General features: G+C 37.5%; 1 protein-coding gene across 9 annotated transcripts in view; it reads left to right on the top strand.

Annotated features, from left to right (window-relative positions):
• TRIM36 (tripartite motif containing 36) overlaps positions 1–19699 on the top strand; it is a 55523-nt gene that overhangs the window by 16038 nt on the left and 19786 nt on the right. For 4 of the 9 annotated variants that reach the window (XM_017009621.3, XM_017009622.3, XM_017009623.3 and 1 more), the window contains exons 2-6: positions 505–739; positions 4587–4616; positions 16096–16116; positions 16863–17188; positions 19513–19659. In XM_017009621.3, coding sequence (XP_016865110.1) covers positions 505–739; positions 4587–4616; positions 16096–16116; positions 16863–17188; positions 19513–19659 — 759 coding nt within the window. Of the gene's footprint in view, positions 1–504; positions 740–4586; positions 4617–12987; positions 13444–16095; positions 16117–16862; positions 17189–19512; positions 19660–19699 lie in introns of those variants that run through there. The other 5 variants (NM_018700.4, NM_001300759.2, XM_047417360.1 and 2 more) reach the window with 3 other exon arrangements.

Genomic DNA, 19699 nt, shown 5'->3' with positions numbered 1-19699 from the left:
ATAATTCAGCTTGTAAATAGATACCAACTAGGTTTCCATGAACATACTGACTCAGCTAGTGTTTAATAGCTCCTGTTATTTGTCAGTCACAGTGTTAATTCACTAAATAAGAATATAGTCTTACTCTTAGTGCTGTATTCAAAATTTTTATTGACATGATCTACTTTTAGGATTTCACCGAAGTCCTAAATCAGTGCACTGGTGATGGAGATTCGAATGATGGCTTTATAATTTTTGATAAAATATCATGGTCCCCTAATATTTTACATAATTTTTCTCTTCATTTTTGCCTTTTACTATCTCATGTTCCTTCAGTTCTGGGTTATGGGTGTTGAGGGCAGTTGATGGTATCAAATTTTATTGGGGAAAAGAAATTTAAAATTTAGAAAATCATTTTCTTAATTCTTTTTGGAAAAATAAACACATGTACTTATTCAGGAGGTATAAGAATGTTAATATATTTACCCACTAAGAGCCTTTAACTTGGACTATTTTACTCTCAAGGTTACCATTAAGAATATCGAAAGGGAGCTCATTTGCCCAGCATGCAAGGAGCTGTTTACCCACCCATTGATTCTCCCTTGCCAACATAGTATCTGTCATAAATGTGTAAAAGAACTCCTGCTGACTCTCGATGATTCATTCAACGATGTGGGATCAGACAACTCCAATCAAAGCAGTCCTCGACTTCGGCTCCCCTCCCCTAGTATGGATAAAATTGACCGAATTAACAGACCAGGTATGTGTTAGAACTGTGGGCTGGGATGGTAGTGGGGGTAAGCTTATAGATATATATTCAGTGGTAACTGGAAGGAAAATTATTTTTGTCATCTTGAGAGTTAATTTTTCCAGGTGAATAAATTAAAACTGTAGTTATAAAGGGGCCTCCCCCACTGTTAAAATGTCAAAATGAACTCTCGTCTTTTGATACATACTTGAAGTAGATATTGGATATTGAACATGAACTTTGTGTTAAACTCCTTATTAACTGTGTTTGTAAGTCTGGGCACAGTGGCTCACACCTGTAATCCCAGCACTTTGGGAGGCCATGTCGGGTGGATCACCTGAGGTCATGAGTTCAAGACCAGCCTGACCAACATGGAGAAACTCCATCTCTACTAAAAATACAAAATGAGCTAGGTGTGGTGACGCGTGCCTGTAACCCCAGCTACCTGGGAGTCTGAGTCAGGAGAATTGCTTGAACCTGGGAGGCGGAGGTTGCAGTGAGCCGAGATCGCGCCATTGCACTCCAGCCTGGGCAACAAGAGTGAAACTCTGTCTCAAAAAAAAAAAAAAAGCTATGTTTGTCTTTAGGAATTATTCTGACTGTGCAATGTACTTGATACATAGAATAATGGACTACTGAAATACTAACTAGGAAAACATTCATATATGGTAATAGGAAAATAAATACTGCAGAGTTAAGGAGTGGGACTACCTAATGGCTAGTCATCACCTTTATGTTTCCTCCCTTGCTGCCAATCTGGCGCACTGAGGAGGGAAAGACAGCATCCCTTGAAATCAGTCCTACTAGATAAAACTTGATATTCTGCTGGTAGATCTTCATTGGCTAATTGGGAACCCATGCTTGATTGACCAAAGAAAACTTTTTGTATGTTAATATTTAGCAAAAACAAATAAAATTTTAGTTATGTACTAGATATTTCTACTTATAATTAGATTGCACTTATATACATATTTCACAAAATTCTGTAGGCTTTTAATGTTAAGATTTGGCTAGTTTTTTATGTGATTCATATGAAGAACAAGATGAATGATTTTCTGTTTTCAGGAATTTACCTGACATGGTACTCTGTAGATGCTTAATAAATATTTGTTGAATGGATGTTGAATGAGAAACCTCTGCCACAGGATTTGTACAGAGAGTGCCACAATGGCTTATATTCAGTAATAATGGCATTTGTCTTTTGGAATATGAGCTCCATTACACCATACATTTCACTGTCTAGATCCGAAATAGCATTACTGGGATGTTTCTCCCTCTTCTTTAGGAAGAACCCTACGAAGTTAGATTATGTCCTGAGAGGGGAAACTTAGAATGGTGGAGTTTGAAAACTTTTCTCTGTAAAGAACAGTTACAGGAGATGAGAAGGGGTGACTGCAGAATATGATAGTTTTCTTATGGATAGAATGAGTATGCTGGATATCTCTAGCAGAGGTTCCAGGTCAATGAGTAGATGGAATAGGAAGGCAGATTTAACTTAGCATGAAAGAAGACACACGCGCACACACACCCCACTAAGGCTGTCCAGAAATGAAATGGGCTAAGTATATCAGACTTCTGCCACTAAATGTGTTTACATCAGGTGTCAAATTTAGATGCTGCAGGGCCAAACGGGTGCATTAATGAAGAGAGCCCCAGGCATAATAAATATAGGACTCTCCTTCATTTTAGTTTTTCGCTGTAAATATGGAGACAATAAATATTTGATTTTCCCTTTAGCTCAACTACTGTAAGAAAACCATCAGCCCAAAGTGACAGCAGCCAACTGATTTTACGACTCCTTATTGGAGAAGTAGAGTGTGGTTTGGGACTGTGGAGACTGAAACGGATGCCTTGTTAAAGGGGGCAGTAACCACTTGGCAGTGTCAGGGTTGAAGATGCCAGATTGTCAGATTTATTGGTTTTTCACAAAAACTTGATAGTGGTTTCCATGTGAAATCTGTTTTTTAAATATTTTCAATTCAGATTATTTAACAATACCACACCAGCTCAATAGGGCAGGACAGCCAAAACATGTCTTTGGCTGTGACCCATGCAGCATTTGGGCCATCAGTATCTGAAGACTTTGTTTAAAACAATGGGTGGGTGGCCACTGTCTGCAATATTGTGGAGGGTGTTTCTGCTGTGGGTGGTAGGTTGGGCCAGTTGTTCTGTCACATGCCATATCTCCAGCACTGAAGTTCTATGCCTTATTAAATACCAGTGGCATTCATTCATTCATTCAACAAATATTTGAGCACCTGCTGGTTACCAGATATGGCTAAATGGTTAAGAACAATGAGCGAGATAGACCCACTTTCTTTTCTTTTTTTTTTTAAAGACACATACCCCTTAGCATTGTGCAAAGCTTTATAACAGCTGTAATTACTAGAGCATAGTCCTTTATCACGAACACACACAGATCAAGTTAACAAAGAGAGAGCACCCAAAGGGTGCGAATGCTGTAAGTATGGAAATCATTCCTGGAGGTTTTAATGCAAATTTTAGGATTGTCCTTCACCAGTTTTAAACTAGTAGAAGTCATTGCAGTGCAAATGTGATGTTACTTGCCATCTATTTATTGGGCATTTGCATATAATTCTTTTTTTGGTAGATTCATGAGTAATATTCCTTTTTTTCTGACAGCTTTCTTCTTAAGTTTTTATCCTTTAGACATTTATTTGAGACAGGGTCTCACTCTGTTTGTTACCTGGGCTGGAGTGCAATGGCTTGATCATAGCTCACTGTAACCTCTAACTCTGAGGCTCAAGTGATCCTCCTGCCTCAGCCTCCTACATACCGGAGACTAGAGGTGCATGCTACTCACTCGCACCCTGCTAATTAAAAAATTTTTTTTGTGGAGAAGAAGGTCTCACTTTGTTGCCTAGGCTGGTTTCAGACTCCTGGCTTCAAGCAGTCTTTGTGCCTTGGCCTTCCAAAGTGCTGGGATTACAGGCGTTATTCACTATACCCAGTCTAGTTTTGCCACTGGTCTAATAAAGGGATTAATTAAACCCGGATTGTCCAGTATGGTAGCCACTAGCCACATGTGGCTATTAAGTGGTTGAAATGTGGCTAGTCTGAATTGAGATATGCTGTGAGTTAAAATACACAGAATAAAAAAGACTGTGAAATGATCTTTAATAATTGTTATATTGTTTATATTTTGAAATCATAGTATTTTGGATATAGTGGGTTAAATAACATTAAAATTAATTTCAATTTTTTTAATATGGCTACTGGAAAATTTAAACTTACGTATATTGTAGTTTTGGCTCATACATTTCTTTTGGATTATTTTGCATTAGATTTTTGACAGTTTTTTTTAAAGGGTACCTTGAAAGGAGAGTAAGATTTGTGTGCATAACACAGTAGCATATTAAATTATGTACAAATAAAAGCCATATTACTGTATACTTTTGATCATAAAGTATACAGTAAGCTTTCCCCCCAGTTTGTATTTTCTGGTTGTCTAAACTGAATATGTTCATTTTAGTTTTTTTTTTTTCTTTTTTTTAACAGTTATTAGGTCAGTAAAAAGTCAAACAAAAGATGTTTGATTTCACTTTGTATTTGCAACATTTACCTTAAGTATGATTGTTTAAAAATACAAATCTATATAGAACAAAGTATTGTCTCTTAAGTGCTATACCCACAATGATTGTAATAAGATTGCTTGATGTATGTTTTATGCTCCTGGCTTCATAAATACTATGTGTACCAGGAAAAACACATTTTTACTGTTAATTCAATAATTGTATTATTTTCAGGACACAGTTACCGCTTTCTCTTTTGTTAACAAGTTGTGAATCTTCTCTTTGAAATTAAATTCTAAATCCAGCTTTCTGTTCATTGTTCACAGCATCACAACGGAGATCTGTGGGGTGGAGAGGTAGAAAATGTTTTATTGCTTTTGTGGCCGCAGGCAATATAGTGTTAGATTTAAATTAAATAATCTTGTGTAAGATTCTTAAACATCAGTGGTCAAGTCTTCAAAATTGTGTAGAGAGTGAACAAATTGGGCTGAAACGACTTAAAGGTCAACAGGACTAAATTTCCAAGCAAGTTCTGATGTTTTTAAAAGAAAACACTGATTATTGGTGCTTGCATTTTGTCAATATACATGACAAGATATTTTTGAAGAAAATGATTTATACCGCTTTTGTTTTTTGTATATGATATCTTAAAACATCCTTTACATTTACTTAGTGAACAAAGCTTGATATTGCTACATTTAAAGGTTAAATAAGCTAATGCTTTCTTATGTATTGAAAAATTTGATTAAAGGTATTGATTATTTTTCTATTTAATGATATCTTTGCTCGTTTTATACATATAGAGTCTTTTCTTTGTTGATGTTTTAAAGTACTTGGCATCAGAGTTTTAGCATTGAGGTCTTACCCACTTGTGGGTAAATGTACACTCCTTTATTAGACTTTCTGAAATATTTGATTCTATGTAAAAGATGGGGCAACCTATCTTATTAAAATTTATTTTTACTCCAGTTGACCTTTAAAAATAACATTGACTGCTTTTTAATGGAATGCTGGTGATACCACCATCTATTTCATGGGAGAATACTTAACACCTGAAATTTATCCCCTTTCTGTCTTTCTCTCTTTCTTCTGCATTTCTTGATTTAAAAATCTTAAAGCCACGATTAGAAGCCACGTGTAATTCTTTTTCTTACAGGTTTTTGAGAATATAAATTTTAAGTGTTGAAATTTAGTAATTAGAAGGAAAGATAGGAGCAGTTTGCTTTAAAAAAGCTACTACCCATTTTTGGTTCAGAGGGTAGTTGAGAGAAATAAATTTTACAGGGTGAAGAATGCTGATATAATACCCAAAAGGTAAATATAACTCATAGGCATCAAATAGTCAGAATGTACCAAAAGAAGCATTAAGGTGGCAGCATAAGATATCAGGCCACTGCCAAACAGCAAAAGCCCAACAGTAGTGTCCACCATTGGGAGAGGTAGTTCATGAACTGTCCAGGGATAGCGATGGGGAAGTCGCAGCCAGAATACGGGAGAGGATGCAACCGGCAGAGGTTTGGAACCTGTTAGTTATGAACTGACTCTCTTCTCTTTGTTTTGAAATACTTTATTTTCTCTTTGATATTTAAATGGTTAAACAAATGACTGAAAGCTGACTTTTTTAGGGGATTTGCTATAAACCAATTTGAAATTTTTTAGAGTCTTTATTTTAAAATTATGCTGACTTTTTAATCTACCTTCAAAGGAAAGATTTGTGGGAAAAAGAAGAGATTCTGTAAGGTGCTAGTATATAATTTGCAAATATTATTGTCCCCACAGATTCAGTTTGATGTATAAAATTGCATTTCTTGGTCTACATTACTTCCTTACCTTTCCAAGCCATCATTACTTTTCTTTCTTTCATTTTTAAAATTTTTTTTATTTCCATAGTTTATTGGGGTACAGATGGTGTTTGGTTACATGAGTAAGTTCTTCAGTGGTGATTTGTGAGATTTTGGTGCACCCATAACCCGAGCAGTATCCACTGCACCCTATTTGTAGTCTTTTGTCCCTCACCCGCTTCCCACCCTTTCTGCCTGAGTCCCCAGAGTCCATTGTGTTATTCTTATGCCTTTGCATCCTCATAGCTTAGCTCCCACTTATGAGTGAGACCATATGATGTTTGGTTTTCCATTCCTGAGTTACTTCACTAAGAATAATAGTCTCCAGTCTCATCGAGGTCACTGTGAATGCCATTAATTCATTCCATTTTATGGCTGAGTAGTATTCCGTCGTGTATATATACCACAGTTTCTTCTCAATTCATAGGCATTTGGGTTTTTTCCACGTTTTTGCAACTGCTACTTGTGCTGCCATAAACATATGTGTGCAAGTATCTTTTTTTGTATAATGACTGCTTTTCCTCTGGGTAGATACCCGCTAGTGGGACTGCTGGATCAAATGGTAGTTCCACTTTTAGTACTTTTTTTTTTGAGATAGAGTTTCGCTGTTGTCGCTCAGGCTGGAGTGCAATGGCGTGATCTTGGCTCACTGGAACCTCCGCCCACCAGGTTCAAGCAATTCTCCTGCCTCAGCCCCCTAAGTAGCTGGGATTACAAGTGAGCACCACCACATCTGGCTAATTTTTCTATTTTTACTAGAGACGGGGGTTTCACCATGTCAGTCAGGCTGGTCTCGAACTGTTGACCTCAGGTGATCCACCCACCCCAGCCTCCCAAAATGTTGGGATTACAGGTGTGAGCCACTGTGCCTGGCCTCTACTTTTAGTTCTTTAAGGAATCTCCACACTCTTTTCTGTAGTGGCTGTACTAGTTTACATTCCCACCAGCAGAGTGGAAGTGTTCCTTGTTCACTGCATCCACGCCAACATCTACTGTTTTTTTTTTTTTTATTATGGCCATTCTTGCAGGAGTAAGGTGGTATCACATTGTGGTTTTGATTTGCATCTCCTTGATCATATAGTAATACTGAGCATTTTGAAATATGTTTGTTGACCACTTGTATGTCTTCTTTTGAGAATTGTCTATTCATGTCCTTAGCCCACTTTTTGATGGGATTGTTTTTTCTTATTGATTTATTTGAGTTCATTGTAGATTCTGGATGTTAGTCCTTTGTCAGATGTATAGATTTTGAAGATTTTTTCCCACTCTGTGGGTTGTCTGTTTACTCTGCTGACTATTCCTTTTGCCATGGAAAAGCTCTTTAGTTTAATTAAGTCCCAGCAATTTGTCTTTGTTTTTATTGCATTTGCTTTTGGCTTCTTGGTCATGAACTCCTTGCCTAAGCCAAAGTCCACAATGGTTTTTTCAGTGTTATCTTCTAGAATTTTTATAGTTTCAGGTCTTAGGTTTAAGTCTTTAATCCATCTTGAGTTGATTTTTGTATAAGGTGAGAGATGACGATCCAGTTTCATTCTCCTACATGTGGCTAGCCAATTATCCCAGCACCATTTCTTGAAAAGGATGTCCTTTACCCACTTTTCTGTTTTTGTTTGCTTTGCTGAAGATCAGTTGGCTGTAAGTATTTGGGTTATTTCTGGGTTCTCTATTCTGTTCCATTGGTCTATGTGCCTATTTTTATACCAGTACCATACTGTTTCAGTGACTATGGCCTTACAGTATAGTTTGAAATTAGGCAATGTGATGCCTTCAGATTTGTTCTTTTTGCTTATTAGTCTTGCTTTGGCTATGCGGGCTCTTTTTTGGTTCCATATGAATTTTAGAATTTTTTTTTTTTAATTTGTGATGAATGATGGTGGTATTTTGATGGGGACTGCATGGAATTTGTAGATTGCTCATGGCAGTATGGTCATTTTCACAATATTGATTCTACCTATCCGTGAGCATGGGATGTGTTTCCATTTTTTCATGTCTTCTATGATTTCTTTCAGCAGTGTTTTGTAGTTTTCTTTGTAGAAGTCCTTCACTTCCTTGGTTGAGTATATTCCTAAGTTTTTTGGTTTTGGGGTTTTTTTTGCAGCTATTGTAAAAGTGGTTGAGTTATTGATTTGATTCTCAGCTTGGTCGCTGTTGGTGTACAGAAGAGCTACTGATTTGTGTACATTAGTATTGTATCCTGAAACTTTGCTGAATTTTTTTATCTGTTTTAGGAGCTTTCTGGAGGAGGCTTTAGGGTTTTCGAGGTAAAAAATCATGTCATCAGCAAACAGTGATAGTTTGACTTCCTTTTTACCGATTTGGTTGCCATTTATGTCTGATTGCTCTGGCTAGGACTTCCAGTACTATATTGAAGAAGGGTGGTAAGAGTGGGCATCCTTGTCTTGTTCCAGTTATCAGAAGAAATGCTTTCAACTCTTCCCCATTCACTATTATGTTGGCTGTGGGTTTGTCATAGATGGGTTTTATTATATTGAGGTATGTTCCTTGTATGCTGATTTTGCTGAGAGTTTTAATCATAAAGGGATGCTAGATTTTGTCAAATGCTTTTTTAGCATCTATTGAGATGAGCATGTGATTTTTGTTTTTAATTCTGTTTATGTGGTGTATCACATTTATTGACTTGCATATGTTAAACCATCCCTGCATCCCTGGTATGAAACCCACTTGATCATGGTGGATTATCTTTTTGATATGTTGTTGGATTTAGTTAGCTAGTATTTTGTTAAGGATTTTAGCTTCTGTGTTCATCAGGGATATTGGTCCGTAGTTTATTTTTATTTTTATTTTTGAGACGGAGTTTCGCTCTTTGTTGCCCAGGCTGAAGTGCAGTGGTGCGATCTCGGCTCACTGCAACCTGTGCCTCCCTGGTTCAAGCGATTCTCCTGTCTCAGCCTCCTGAGTAGCTGAGATTACAGGTTCACGCCACCACACCTGGCTAATTATTTTTTTAAACAGTGTTTTGCTCTTGTTGCCCAGGCTGAAGTGCAACAGCACGATCTTGGCTCACCACAACCTCCGCCTCCCAGGTTCAGGCGATTCTTCTGCCTCAGCCTCCCGAGTAGCTGGGATTACAAGCATGCACCACCATGCCCGGCTAATTTTTTTTTTTTTGTATTTTTAGTAGAGACGAGGTTTCTTCCTTGTTGGTCAGGCTGGTGTCCAACTCCTGACCTCAGGGGATCTGCCTGCCTCAGCCTTCCAAAGTGCTGGGATTACAATCGTGAGCCACCACGCCCAGCCTGGTCTGTAGTTTTCTTTTGTTATGTCCTTTCCTGGTTTTGGTATTAGGGTGATACTGGCTTCACAGAATGAGTTAGGGAGGGTTCCTCTTTCTCTATCTCATGGAATAGTGTCAATATGATTAGTACCAATTGTTCTTTGAATGTCTGGTCGAATTCTGCTGTGAATCCATCTGGTCCTGGACTTTTTTTGTTGATAATTTTTAAATTACCATTTCAATCTTGGTGCTTGTTACTAGTCTGTTCAGAGTATCTAATTCTTCCTAATTTAAGCTATGAAGGTTGTATCTTTCCAATAATTTATCTGTCTCTTCTAGGTTTTCTGGTTTATGCATGTAAAGGTAGTCACAGCAGCCTTGAATGATCTTTTGTATTTCTGTGGTGTCAGTTGTAGTATCTCCTGATTCATTTCTTATTGAGCTTATTTGGATTTTCTCTCTTCTTAGTTAATTTTGCTAATGGTGTATCAATTTTATTAATCTTCGAAGAATCAGCTTTTTGTTTGATTTATCTTTTGTGGGTTTTTTTTTTCATTTGTTTCAATTTCATTTAGTTCTGCTCTGATCTTGCTTATTTCCTTTCTTCTGCTAGGTTTGGGTTTGGTTTGTTCTTGCTTTTCTGGTTTCTAGAGGGGTATCCTTAGATTGTCTCTTGGTGCTCTTTCAGACTTTTTCATGTAGGCGTTTAGGGCTGTGAACTTTCGTCTTAGCACTGCCTTTGCTGTGTTCCAGAGGTTTTGATAGGTTGTGTCACTATTGTCATGCAGCTTGAAGAATTTTTAAATTTCATCTTAATTTCATTTTTTTTTTGACCCTGTGCTCATTCAGGAGCAGGTTATTTAATTTCCATGTATTTGCATGGTTTTGAAGTTTCCTTGTGGAGTTGATTTCCAGTTTTATTCCACTGTGGTCTGAGAGAGTGCTTGATATAATTTCAATATTTTTAAATTTATTGAGGCTCATTTTGTGGCCTATCATATGGTCTGTCTTGGAGAAAGTTCCATGTGCTGTTGAATAGAATGTATATTCTGTGGTTGTTGGATGGAATGTTGTGCATGTAACTGTTAGGTCCATTTGTTCCAAGGAATAGTTTAAATCCATTGTTTCTGGCCGGGTATGGTGGCCCGGCACTTTGGGAGGCCAAGGTGGGAGGATCACCTGAGGTCAGGAGTTCGAGACCAGCCTGGACAACATGGTGAAACCCTGTCTCTGCTAAAAGTACAAAAATTAGCTGGGCCTGGTGGCACCCACCTGTAATCCCAGCTACTCGGGAGGCTGAGGCAGGAGAATCTCTTGAACCCACGAGGTAGAGATTGCAGTGAGCTGAGATCATGCCACTGCACTCCAGCCTGGGTGACAGAGCATGACTCCATCTCAAAGAAAAAAAAATTCATTGTTTCTTTGTTGGCTTTCTCTCTTGATGACCTGTGTAGGGCTGTCAGTGGTGTATTGATACCTCCCAGTATTACTGTGTTGCTGTCTATCTCATTTCTTAGGTCTGTTAGTAATTGTTTTATAAATTTGGGAGCCCCTGTGTTAGGTATATATATGTTTAGGATTGTGATATTTTCCTGTTGGACAAGGCCTTTTATCATTATTTAATGTCCTTCTTTGTCTTTTTAAATTGGTTTGCTTTAAAGTTTGTTTTGTCTGATATAAGAATACCTACTCCTGCTGGCTTTTGGTGTCCATTCACATGAAATGTCTTTTTCCACCCCTTTACCTTAAGTTTTTGTGAATCCTTATGTGTTAGGTGAGTCTCTTGAAGGCAGCAGATAGTTGGTTGGTGAAGTCTTACTTATTCTGCAATTCTTTGTCTTTTTTTAAGTGGAGCATTTAAGCCATTTACATTCAGTTGGTATTGAGATATGAGGTACCATTTCATTCACTGTGCTATTTTTTTGCCTGTGTACCTTGTTTTTTGTTGTTGTTGTTGTTTTTTAAATCTTATTTTTGTTTTATAGGTCCTGTGTGTTTTATGCTTTAAAGAGGTTCTGTTTTGATGCGTTTCCAGGATTTGTTTCAAGATTTAGAGCTCCTTTTAGCAGTTCTTTTAGAGGAGGCTTGGTAGTGGTGACTTCTCTCAGCATTTGTTTGTCTGAAAAAGACTCTTACCTTTCCTTCACAAGTGAAGCTTAGTTTTGCTGCGTATAAAATTCTTGGCTGATAATTTTTTTTTAGGAGGCTGAAGATAGGGCCCCAATCCCTTCTAGCCTGTAGGGTTTCTGCTGAGAAATCTGCTGTTAATCTGATAGGTTTTCCCTAGGTTACCTGGTACTTTTGTGTCACAGCTCTTAAGATTCTTTCCTTTGTCTTAACTGGTAACCTGACGACAGTGTTCCTGGGCAGTGATCTTTTTGCGATGAATTTCCCAGGTGTTCTTTGTGCTTTTTGTATTTCGATATCTAGGTCTCTAGCAAGGCTGGGGTAGTTTTCCTCGATTATTCCCCCAAATATGTTTTCCAAACTTTTAGATTTCTCTTCTTCCTCAGGAACACTGATTATTCTTAGGGTGGGTCATTTAACGTAATCCCAGGCTTCTTGGAGGCTTTGTTCATATTTTCTTATTCTTTCTTCTTTGTCTTTGTTGGATTGGGTTAGTTCGAAGACTTTGTCTTCGAGCTCTGAATTTCTTTCTTCTACTTGTTCAATTCTGTTACTAAGACTTTCCAGAGCATTTTGCATTTCTATTAGTGTGTCCAGTATTTCCTGAAGTTTTCATTGTTTTTTATTTATGCTATCTATTTCCTTGAACATTTCTTCCTTCACTTCTTGTATCATTTTTTGGATTGCCTTACATCGGTCTTTGCCTTTTTCTGGTGTCTCCTCGATTAGCTTAGTAACCTTCTGGATTCTTTTTCAGGTAAATCAAGGATTTCTTCTTGTTTGGGTCCCTTGCTGGTGAGCTAGTGTGATTTTTGCTGGTGTTAACCTTGTTTTGTCATATTACCAGAGGTGGTTTCCTAGTTCCTTCCCATTTCGGTAGGCTCTGTCAGAGGAAATGTTAGGGCTCAAGGTTGCTGTTCAGTTCCTTTTGTCCCACGGGTTGTTTTTGATGTGGTACTCTTCCCCATTTCCTATGGATGTGCCTTCCTGGGAGTCGAGTTGTAGTGATTGTTCTCTCTTCTGGATCTATCCACCCAGCAAGTATACCAGGCTCTGGGCTGGTATTGGGTGTTGTCTGCCCACAGTCCTGTGATGTGAACCATCTTTGGGTCTTTCAGCCATGGATACCACCAGCACCTGTTCTGATGGAGGTGGCAGGCAGTGAAATGGACTCTTTGAGGCTTCTTAGCTTTGGTGGTTTAATGCACTATTTTTGTGCTGGTTGGCTTCCTGCCAGGAGGTGGCACTTTCCAAAGAGCATCAACTGTGGTGGTAGGGGGAGGAACAGGCAGTGGGCAGGGCCCTAGAACTCCCAAGATTATATGCCCTTTGTCTTCAGTTACCAGGGTAGGTAGGGAAAGACCCCTGGGTGGGGGCAGGGCGAGGCGTGTCTGAGCTCAGACTCTCCTTGAGCAGCTCTTGCTGCAGCTGCTGCGGGGATTGGGGGATGAGGTTTCCAGGTCAATGGAGTTATGTTCCTAGGAGGATTATGGCCACCTCTGCTGTGTCATGCAGGTTGTCAGCGAAGTGAAGGAAAGCCGGCAGTCACAGGCCTCACCCAGCTCCCACACAGTCCAAAGGGCCAGTCCCACTTCCACTGTACCCCCAACAACAGTACCAAGTTTGTTTCCAGGCAGTGGGTGAGCAGGGCTGAGAACTTGCCCCAGTCTACCCGCCTCCCAGCTGCAAAAGCAAGTATGGCTTTCCTTCTCCCACCTGTGGAGTCTGCACACTGGATTTACACCCTCCCCCAAGTTGTGGCCAGGAGGCTTCTCCATCAGTTCAAATTGTTACAAACTTTAGCTGGAGGTTTCCTTCTCCCTGTGGCCTTTTCCCAGAGCCTCTGGCCGTTCTCCGGAAGGACCCCTGTGAGGCCAGGCAAAAACGACTTGATGGGGGCCCAGTGAGCTTCCAGGGGTTTTCCCACTGCTTCCTCTACCCTTGTATTTCACTCAGCTCTCTAAATTGACTCAGCTCCAGGTAAGGTCAAAATCTCCCGTTATCCAGGTCTTCAGTTTCCCCAGTGGAGGTGTGTTCAGGGGCAGACAATCTCCCTTTCCCAGTTCCACAGTTTGGGCCCTCGCAGTATTTAGCGTGTCTCCCAGGTCCTGTAGGAGCAGTCTGCTTCCTTCAGGGGGCCTGTGGGTCCTCTCAGCTTTCCTATTTCTGTAGTCGTTCTGGAGCAAAATTTCACAGTGCTAGCATCCACATGCTGCTCTGTCAGAGCTGCAATCTAGTCCTTCCTCTAGTTATAGTCCTTCAATCTAGTTTGTGATGATCCCTCTGTTTTTCTTTTTCATTGTCTAATGCAATTGAGCAATACTATGCAATAGAACTTTCTACTATAATGGAAATGTTCAACCCTGTGTCATATAATATGGTAGCCATTAGCTACATGTGTCTCTTGAGAATTTGAAATATGGCTATGGTAACCAAATAAGTGAATATTAAATTTTACTTAATTTTAATTAAATTTTAAAAGTCACATGTGGCTAATGGCTACTGTATCAGATGACACAGCCATGGAAAGTAGAAAGTTGACTCTTCCATTTTGTTCTTAATTCCATTGCCTTGATTTTTTCATTAAGGATATTACTTCCCAGAATATCCTAAGATTCTCATTTTCTTTATTGCTCTGAACATCTACTGTTTGTTTTTATGAAAACAATGAAAGAAATATAAGACAGATGAAATAAAAGTTCTTTAGCATTTGTAAGAAATATTTAAGCACATTGGGCCAGGCACGGTGGCTGAAGCCTGTAATCCCAGCACTTTGGGAGGCCGAGGCAGGTGGATCACGAGGTCAGGAGATCGAGACCATCCTGGCTAACATGGTGAAACCCCATCTCTACTAAAAAATACAAAAAATTAGCCGGGCGTGGTGGCAGGCACCTGTAGTCCCAGCTACTCGGGAGGCTGAGGCAGGAGAATGGCGTGAACCCGGGAGGCGGAGCTTGCAGTGAGCCGAGATCGCGCCACTGCACTCCAGCCTGGACGACAGAGCGAGACTCCATCTCAAAAAAAAAGAGCTTTCAAGATCTGTTTAGAAAGATAGCCAAGATATCTATTTGGACGAGTTGTGAAAAATTACATGTCTTAATTTAATGTCTGATTTAAGTTTAGTGTTTCACACCTTTTTTTTTTTTTTTTTACACTGTAAAAACACAGTAGCAGAGGTAAACAGAAAAGGGATGAACTTTTTTTTTTTTTTTTTTTTTTTTTTTCAAATTTCTGAGGACCCAATTCTGGGTGTCACCAGCATACATGTTAAAGCTTGATTTTGTTGTCATTATTTACTTTTCATTATCCCGTTACTTTAATTGGTCATAATCTTCATAAAACCAAAAATAACTCATTTTTTTAACACTTTTGAGATTAGTTTTCTATTTATCTAAATTTTCATCACCTATTTCATGTGTGGAAACCTGCGATTATATATGAATTTCTATTTGTTTAAACTTGACCACTGCACCATACCATCTCCAGAATTGTTTGGCTTGTTTTCTTTCCTAAATGAAATTTTCATTGGCATGTGATTTAAAAGTAGCTTTGCTGCTTATTTCATGATATGCCTGCTGTGGTGTGAAAGAGTTTGGATTGTATTGCATGCTTTTAGAATTATTATCTGAATATATTTTAGGATTTTCAAATTTTTATGGGGCAACTTTTTTGTATGCATTAATGTTTAAAAATGTAAACGTTAAAATATCTTTAAATGAAGATATTAAAAATATTCTGCATGTTTGTTGTATAAGTAGATTTTGGGGCCCAATGCCATATAGCATGCTATTAACATCACTTCCAATAAGTATTATTATGGGCTGATTGCTAAATTTTACCTGAACTGATATCATGTCAGACATCTTTTAAGATATTCTTTTGAGTGATGACAGTTATATGCAAAGGGTATATTGATGTAGCTGTTTAAAGACCTTTTGTAATGTGGTATACCAAATTCAGCCATTCATTTTTGGTATTGGATACATGATAGTATGAAAGAAGGTGTAGGTTAAGAAGTTTGTGTTTAAGTTAAGGGAGTTATTTTTGGGGCAACTAAGACTGCATACTCTTAAGAACAGATTTACGGCCGGGCGCGGTGGCTCACGCCTGTAATCCCAGCACTTTGGGAAGCCAAGACAGGTGGATCACGAGGTCAGGAGTTCAAGACCAGCCTGGCCAAGATGGTGAAACCCCATCTCTACTAAAAATATAAAAATTAGCTAGGTGTGGTGGTGGGCGCCTGTAATCCCAGCTACTTGGCAGGCTGAAGCAGAGAATTGCTTGAACCTGGGAGGCAGAGGTTGCAGTGAGCCGAGATCACACTCCAGCCTAGGTGACAGAGTGAGACTCCATCTAAAAAAAAAAAAAAAAAAAAAAAGAACAGATTTACAAATGAGGGAATGTGATATGCATGCACCTGTCGTAAATGGACAACCCTGGATTCCTGTGAACCAATGGGTAAGGACTGTCATGCATTGGTTTCTTGATTTATTAAAATTGGGATAATACTGAACAAAAATGTGATGTTTAAGGTCATTCATTGTTTTATATATGTTGTAAAATTATTTGTAGTGTTTTTGGGGTAACTTTTGGCTTACTGAGTTAAGTAATCTTAATGATTCTTTGTTTCAGGTCATAAGAAGTTATTAAATGGTTGGTCCCTCTTAAAAATCACTAAATTATAGGTCTATGAATGAATTTTTCACTCTTCTATAGATTGCACTCAATTAACTAATGATCTTCCCTACTGAATTTTTCCAGATAAAACAATACTACGTGGGAAAGCTTCTATTGTAGTGTTGTTAAAAATTTTGTGGTCACATCACATATTCTTTTGAAAATCTGATAAAAGCTGTGGGTTTTTACCAGTAAATATGTATATGTATATAGGTGGAATATTTTGTGCACAATTTCAAATAGTTCATGGATCTGCCTGGGCCTCTTCATGGGCTTTGTGCTAGGGACCCCTGCTCTTTTATGTATCGATTCATTTCCTGTCAGTCAGCAAAGACTGTTCTTTTAAATGTCTTTGGATATGGTGTATAAAAGTAACTATAAATGCTAATTATATAATTTTAAAAGATCTTAACGCCATGTAGTATTGTATTACGTGTTTTATCTTTATATCTATGTTTGATTTAATATGGATTCTATGTGGGTTTACTGTAGAATATTTTCCTTTTTGATTTGCTGTTTGATTTGATAACTTGGGCTTGTCTTTTGTATACTAAGGAAAAATTTTTAAAAACATTTTCACAATACAAATTTCACGTGGAGCCACTTCGGATACTGTTTTTGTGATACATTTGTAGATATGTCTCTAAGACATGACTCCTCTTTTCTTCATTCTAATCATTTTCCTACTGCTATAACTAAACAAAGACTTACTAATTACACAGGCTGGAAGCGCAATTCATTGACCCCGAGGACAACTGTTTTCCCTTGCCCTGGCTGTGAGCATGATGTGGATCTTGGAGAACGAGGAATCAATGGTCTGTTTCGAAACTTCACTTTGGAAACTATTGTGGAAAGATATCGTCAAGCAGCTAGGGCAGCCACAGCCATTATGTGTGACCTTTGTAAACCACCACCTCAAGAATCCACAAAAAGCTGCATGGACTGTAGTGCAAGTTACTGCAATGAATGCTTCAAAATTCATCACCCTTGGGGTACTATAAAAGCTCAACATGAGTATGTTGGTCCAACTACTAACTTCAGACCCAAGGTAAGTGAAGTTTTTATTAAGTTAGAATGTTATTTTAACTTAATGTTATGAAACTTTTATGTACTTAATGTTACGAAATAAATTATTAAGTCTAGAACTTGACAGAAAGGAAATAACTTTAAAAGCAGGTATAAGAACTTAAGGCCTAGTTGGCTGGAGTTACTTACTATGGGGCTAAACATCCCCACCAAAGGAGGGCAATATTGTGGTTTATTCTATTACAATCCAGTGTGATATAATACAATAAATGCATGTTTGTAATGATAACTCTGATTAAAGAAAGGTTATCTCAGATATACTCTTTAAGATTGAAATGGTTAAAGTTAAAAAGCTTTTTTGTGCTTTAGTGTCATAAATCCATAATTGCTTAAAAGGTTTGACTGCGAAACATATTTTTGTTGCATTTGGCTAAAATTGTACAATGAATAAAAGTAATTACAGCCTAATACTTTGTAGTTTGTGATATAATGGTTATATGTTATCTGGAGTAGAATTTGCATTTCTTAAACATTCTGAGTAATTTCTTTAACATTCTGAGTAATTTCTTTAATATTGCTCAAAAGAAGTTTATGTATTGTTTGCCCTGCTGTGTGCCTGGAAAGAAACTGATCTTTTGATATCTTCCCTTCTTTCTGATGTATATAGATTTTAAAAACCTATGGTTGAGTTTTTCAAAGTTCTTACTCCTTATAACTTAGTGACTTGTGTATGAAAATCTACTTGCATTTTTAAGTGTAAAACCTTTAATTTGTAATAAAAAATGGGGAAAAAAATCTCAAAAGTGTTTTTGAAACTGTGAGCTATTTCTTATATTAAATAGTAAAGGATTGGTAGATTAAGGCAAAAACAATCTGTGCTATCACATTTTGAATGACCTTTCTCAAACTGTGTCAGTCTGGTAGTAGATTCATCAGATAGCTTTTAATCCTGTATTATGTTCCTCATTTTAAATGCTCAAGACCATCAATTTTTAAAAATTTGTGACTTCAACCTGATGTTTCTATTTACAAATATAATAAAAGATTGATAAGAGAACACCAAAGAAACATGGATAGGTTATACTGAGAAACATTTCATTTTTCAAGTAGTTAGTGCTACTCAATATAGTAAAATTCTAAAACGGTGTCCAAAATGGTATAGGCAAATGCTATGGAATATTTGCCTATAACGTTGAGTTCTTTTGATCATTTCTTGCAGATGGACAAACTTTGTATTTTATTTTAAATGTAATGGCTTTGGGGATGTAGAAACTTGGACATGCTGAAAAACTTGAAACCTTTTCCAGTTGTTTTTCTCCTGAACCTATATATTGGTATTAGGACTTTCTGTATTGTACTTTTTGTTCGTTCCTTTTAAATGTCTATAAGTTACAAAATTAGCTGGGCATGGTGGCACATGCCTGTGATCCCAGCTTCTTGGGAGGCTGAGGCAGGAAAATTGCTTGAACCCAGGAGGTGGAGGTTGCAGTGAGCCAAGATTGCACCACTGCACTCTAGCCTGGGCGACAGAGCGAGACTCTGTCTCAAAAATAAATAAATAAATAAATAAATAAATGTCTGTAAGTTATCAGACAAGTTACAATTGCTTAAAATCTAATCTGTTGGAATCTTTAACAACTTTTGATTTTATTAACATACTAACTTAAAGGAATCTCCCCTTTCTTTCAAATGAAAACAGTTATTTTACATAAAATTTTATGTTATTTGATAGCTTTTAATCCTCTATGATAATAGTTTACAAAGTAAATAAAAAGGTAGACAATGAAATCAGAAAAACAGTTCCAAATTTGGTCAGTGCATTTGTAATTAATTTGTAAAAGGAAACACATCTAGAAGCTTATAAAGTTTTCTGAGACTCTTTTAGCAACAGATTTCTGTTACTGAGGCCATGAGTCTCATAAATTGTTATGGTACTTCATTAAAAATATTGACTTTGATCATTAAGAATTGCTTCATCAGTGTGGTCAGATGGCCTTTCTAACTTGGTTAAGTGTTCATTCCATTTGAATCTGATAGGAATGAAACTCTAACTTAACAAGTTTTGGAGAAATAACATCTATATATTATGACGAGATCAGGCATGTTCAGAGGGGTATGGCCGTAGACAACATCTACGTATTAATCATTTGAACCCTCAAATTGAAAAATAGTAATTCCGATATAGAGAATTTTCATGTGATGTATCAACCATTTTTCTTTTTACATTCATATTCACTTAAATGGCTTTATTTAGTGATTTTATAAGGCAAATCTTTGTATTTTGGTAATTTGTTAGATTACTTGAAACCTAGATCCTTAATCACACTTTTATTCTTTACTCAATAGATTTTAATGTGCCCAGAACATGAAACAGAGAGAATAAACATGTACTGTGAATTATGTAGGAGGCCAGTTTGCCATCTGTGTAAGTTGGGTGGTAATCATGCCAACCACCGTGTAACCACTATGAGCAGTGCCTACAAAACCTTAAAGGTAGGACTTATTTTTGGAACAGAATTTTGATTCTTCGTAA

This window comes from Homo sapiens, chromosome 5 (genome assembly GCF_000001405.40).
Source record: "Homo sapiens chromosome 5, GRCh38.p14 Primary Assembly".
NCBI lineage: Eukaryota > Metazoa > Chordata > Mammalia > Primates > Hominidae > Homo > Homo sapiens.
This window is presented reverse-complemented; position numbering and strand designations above follow the sequence as displayed.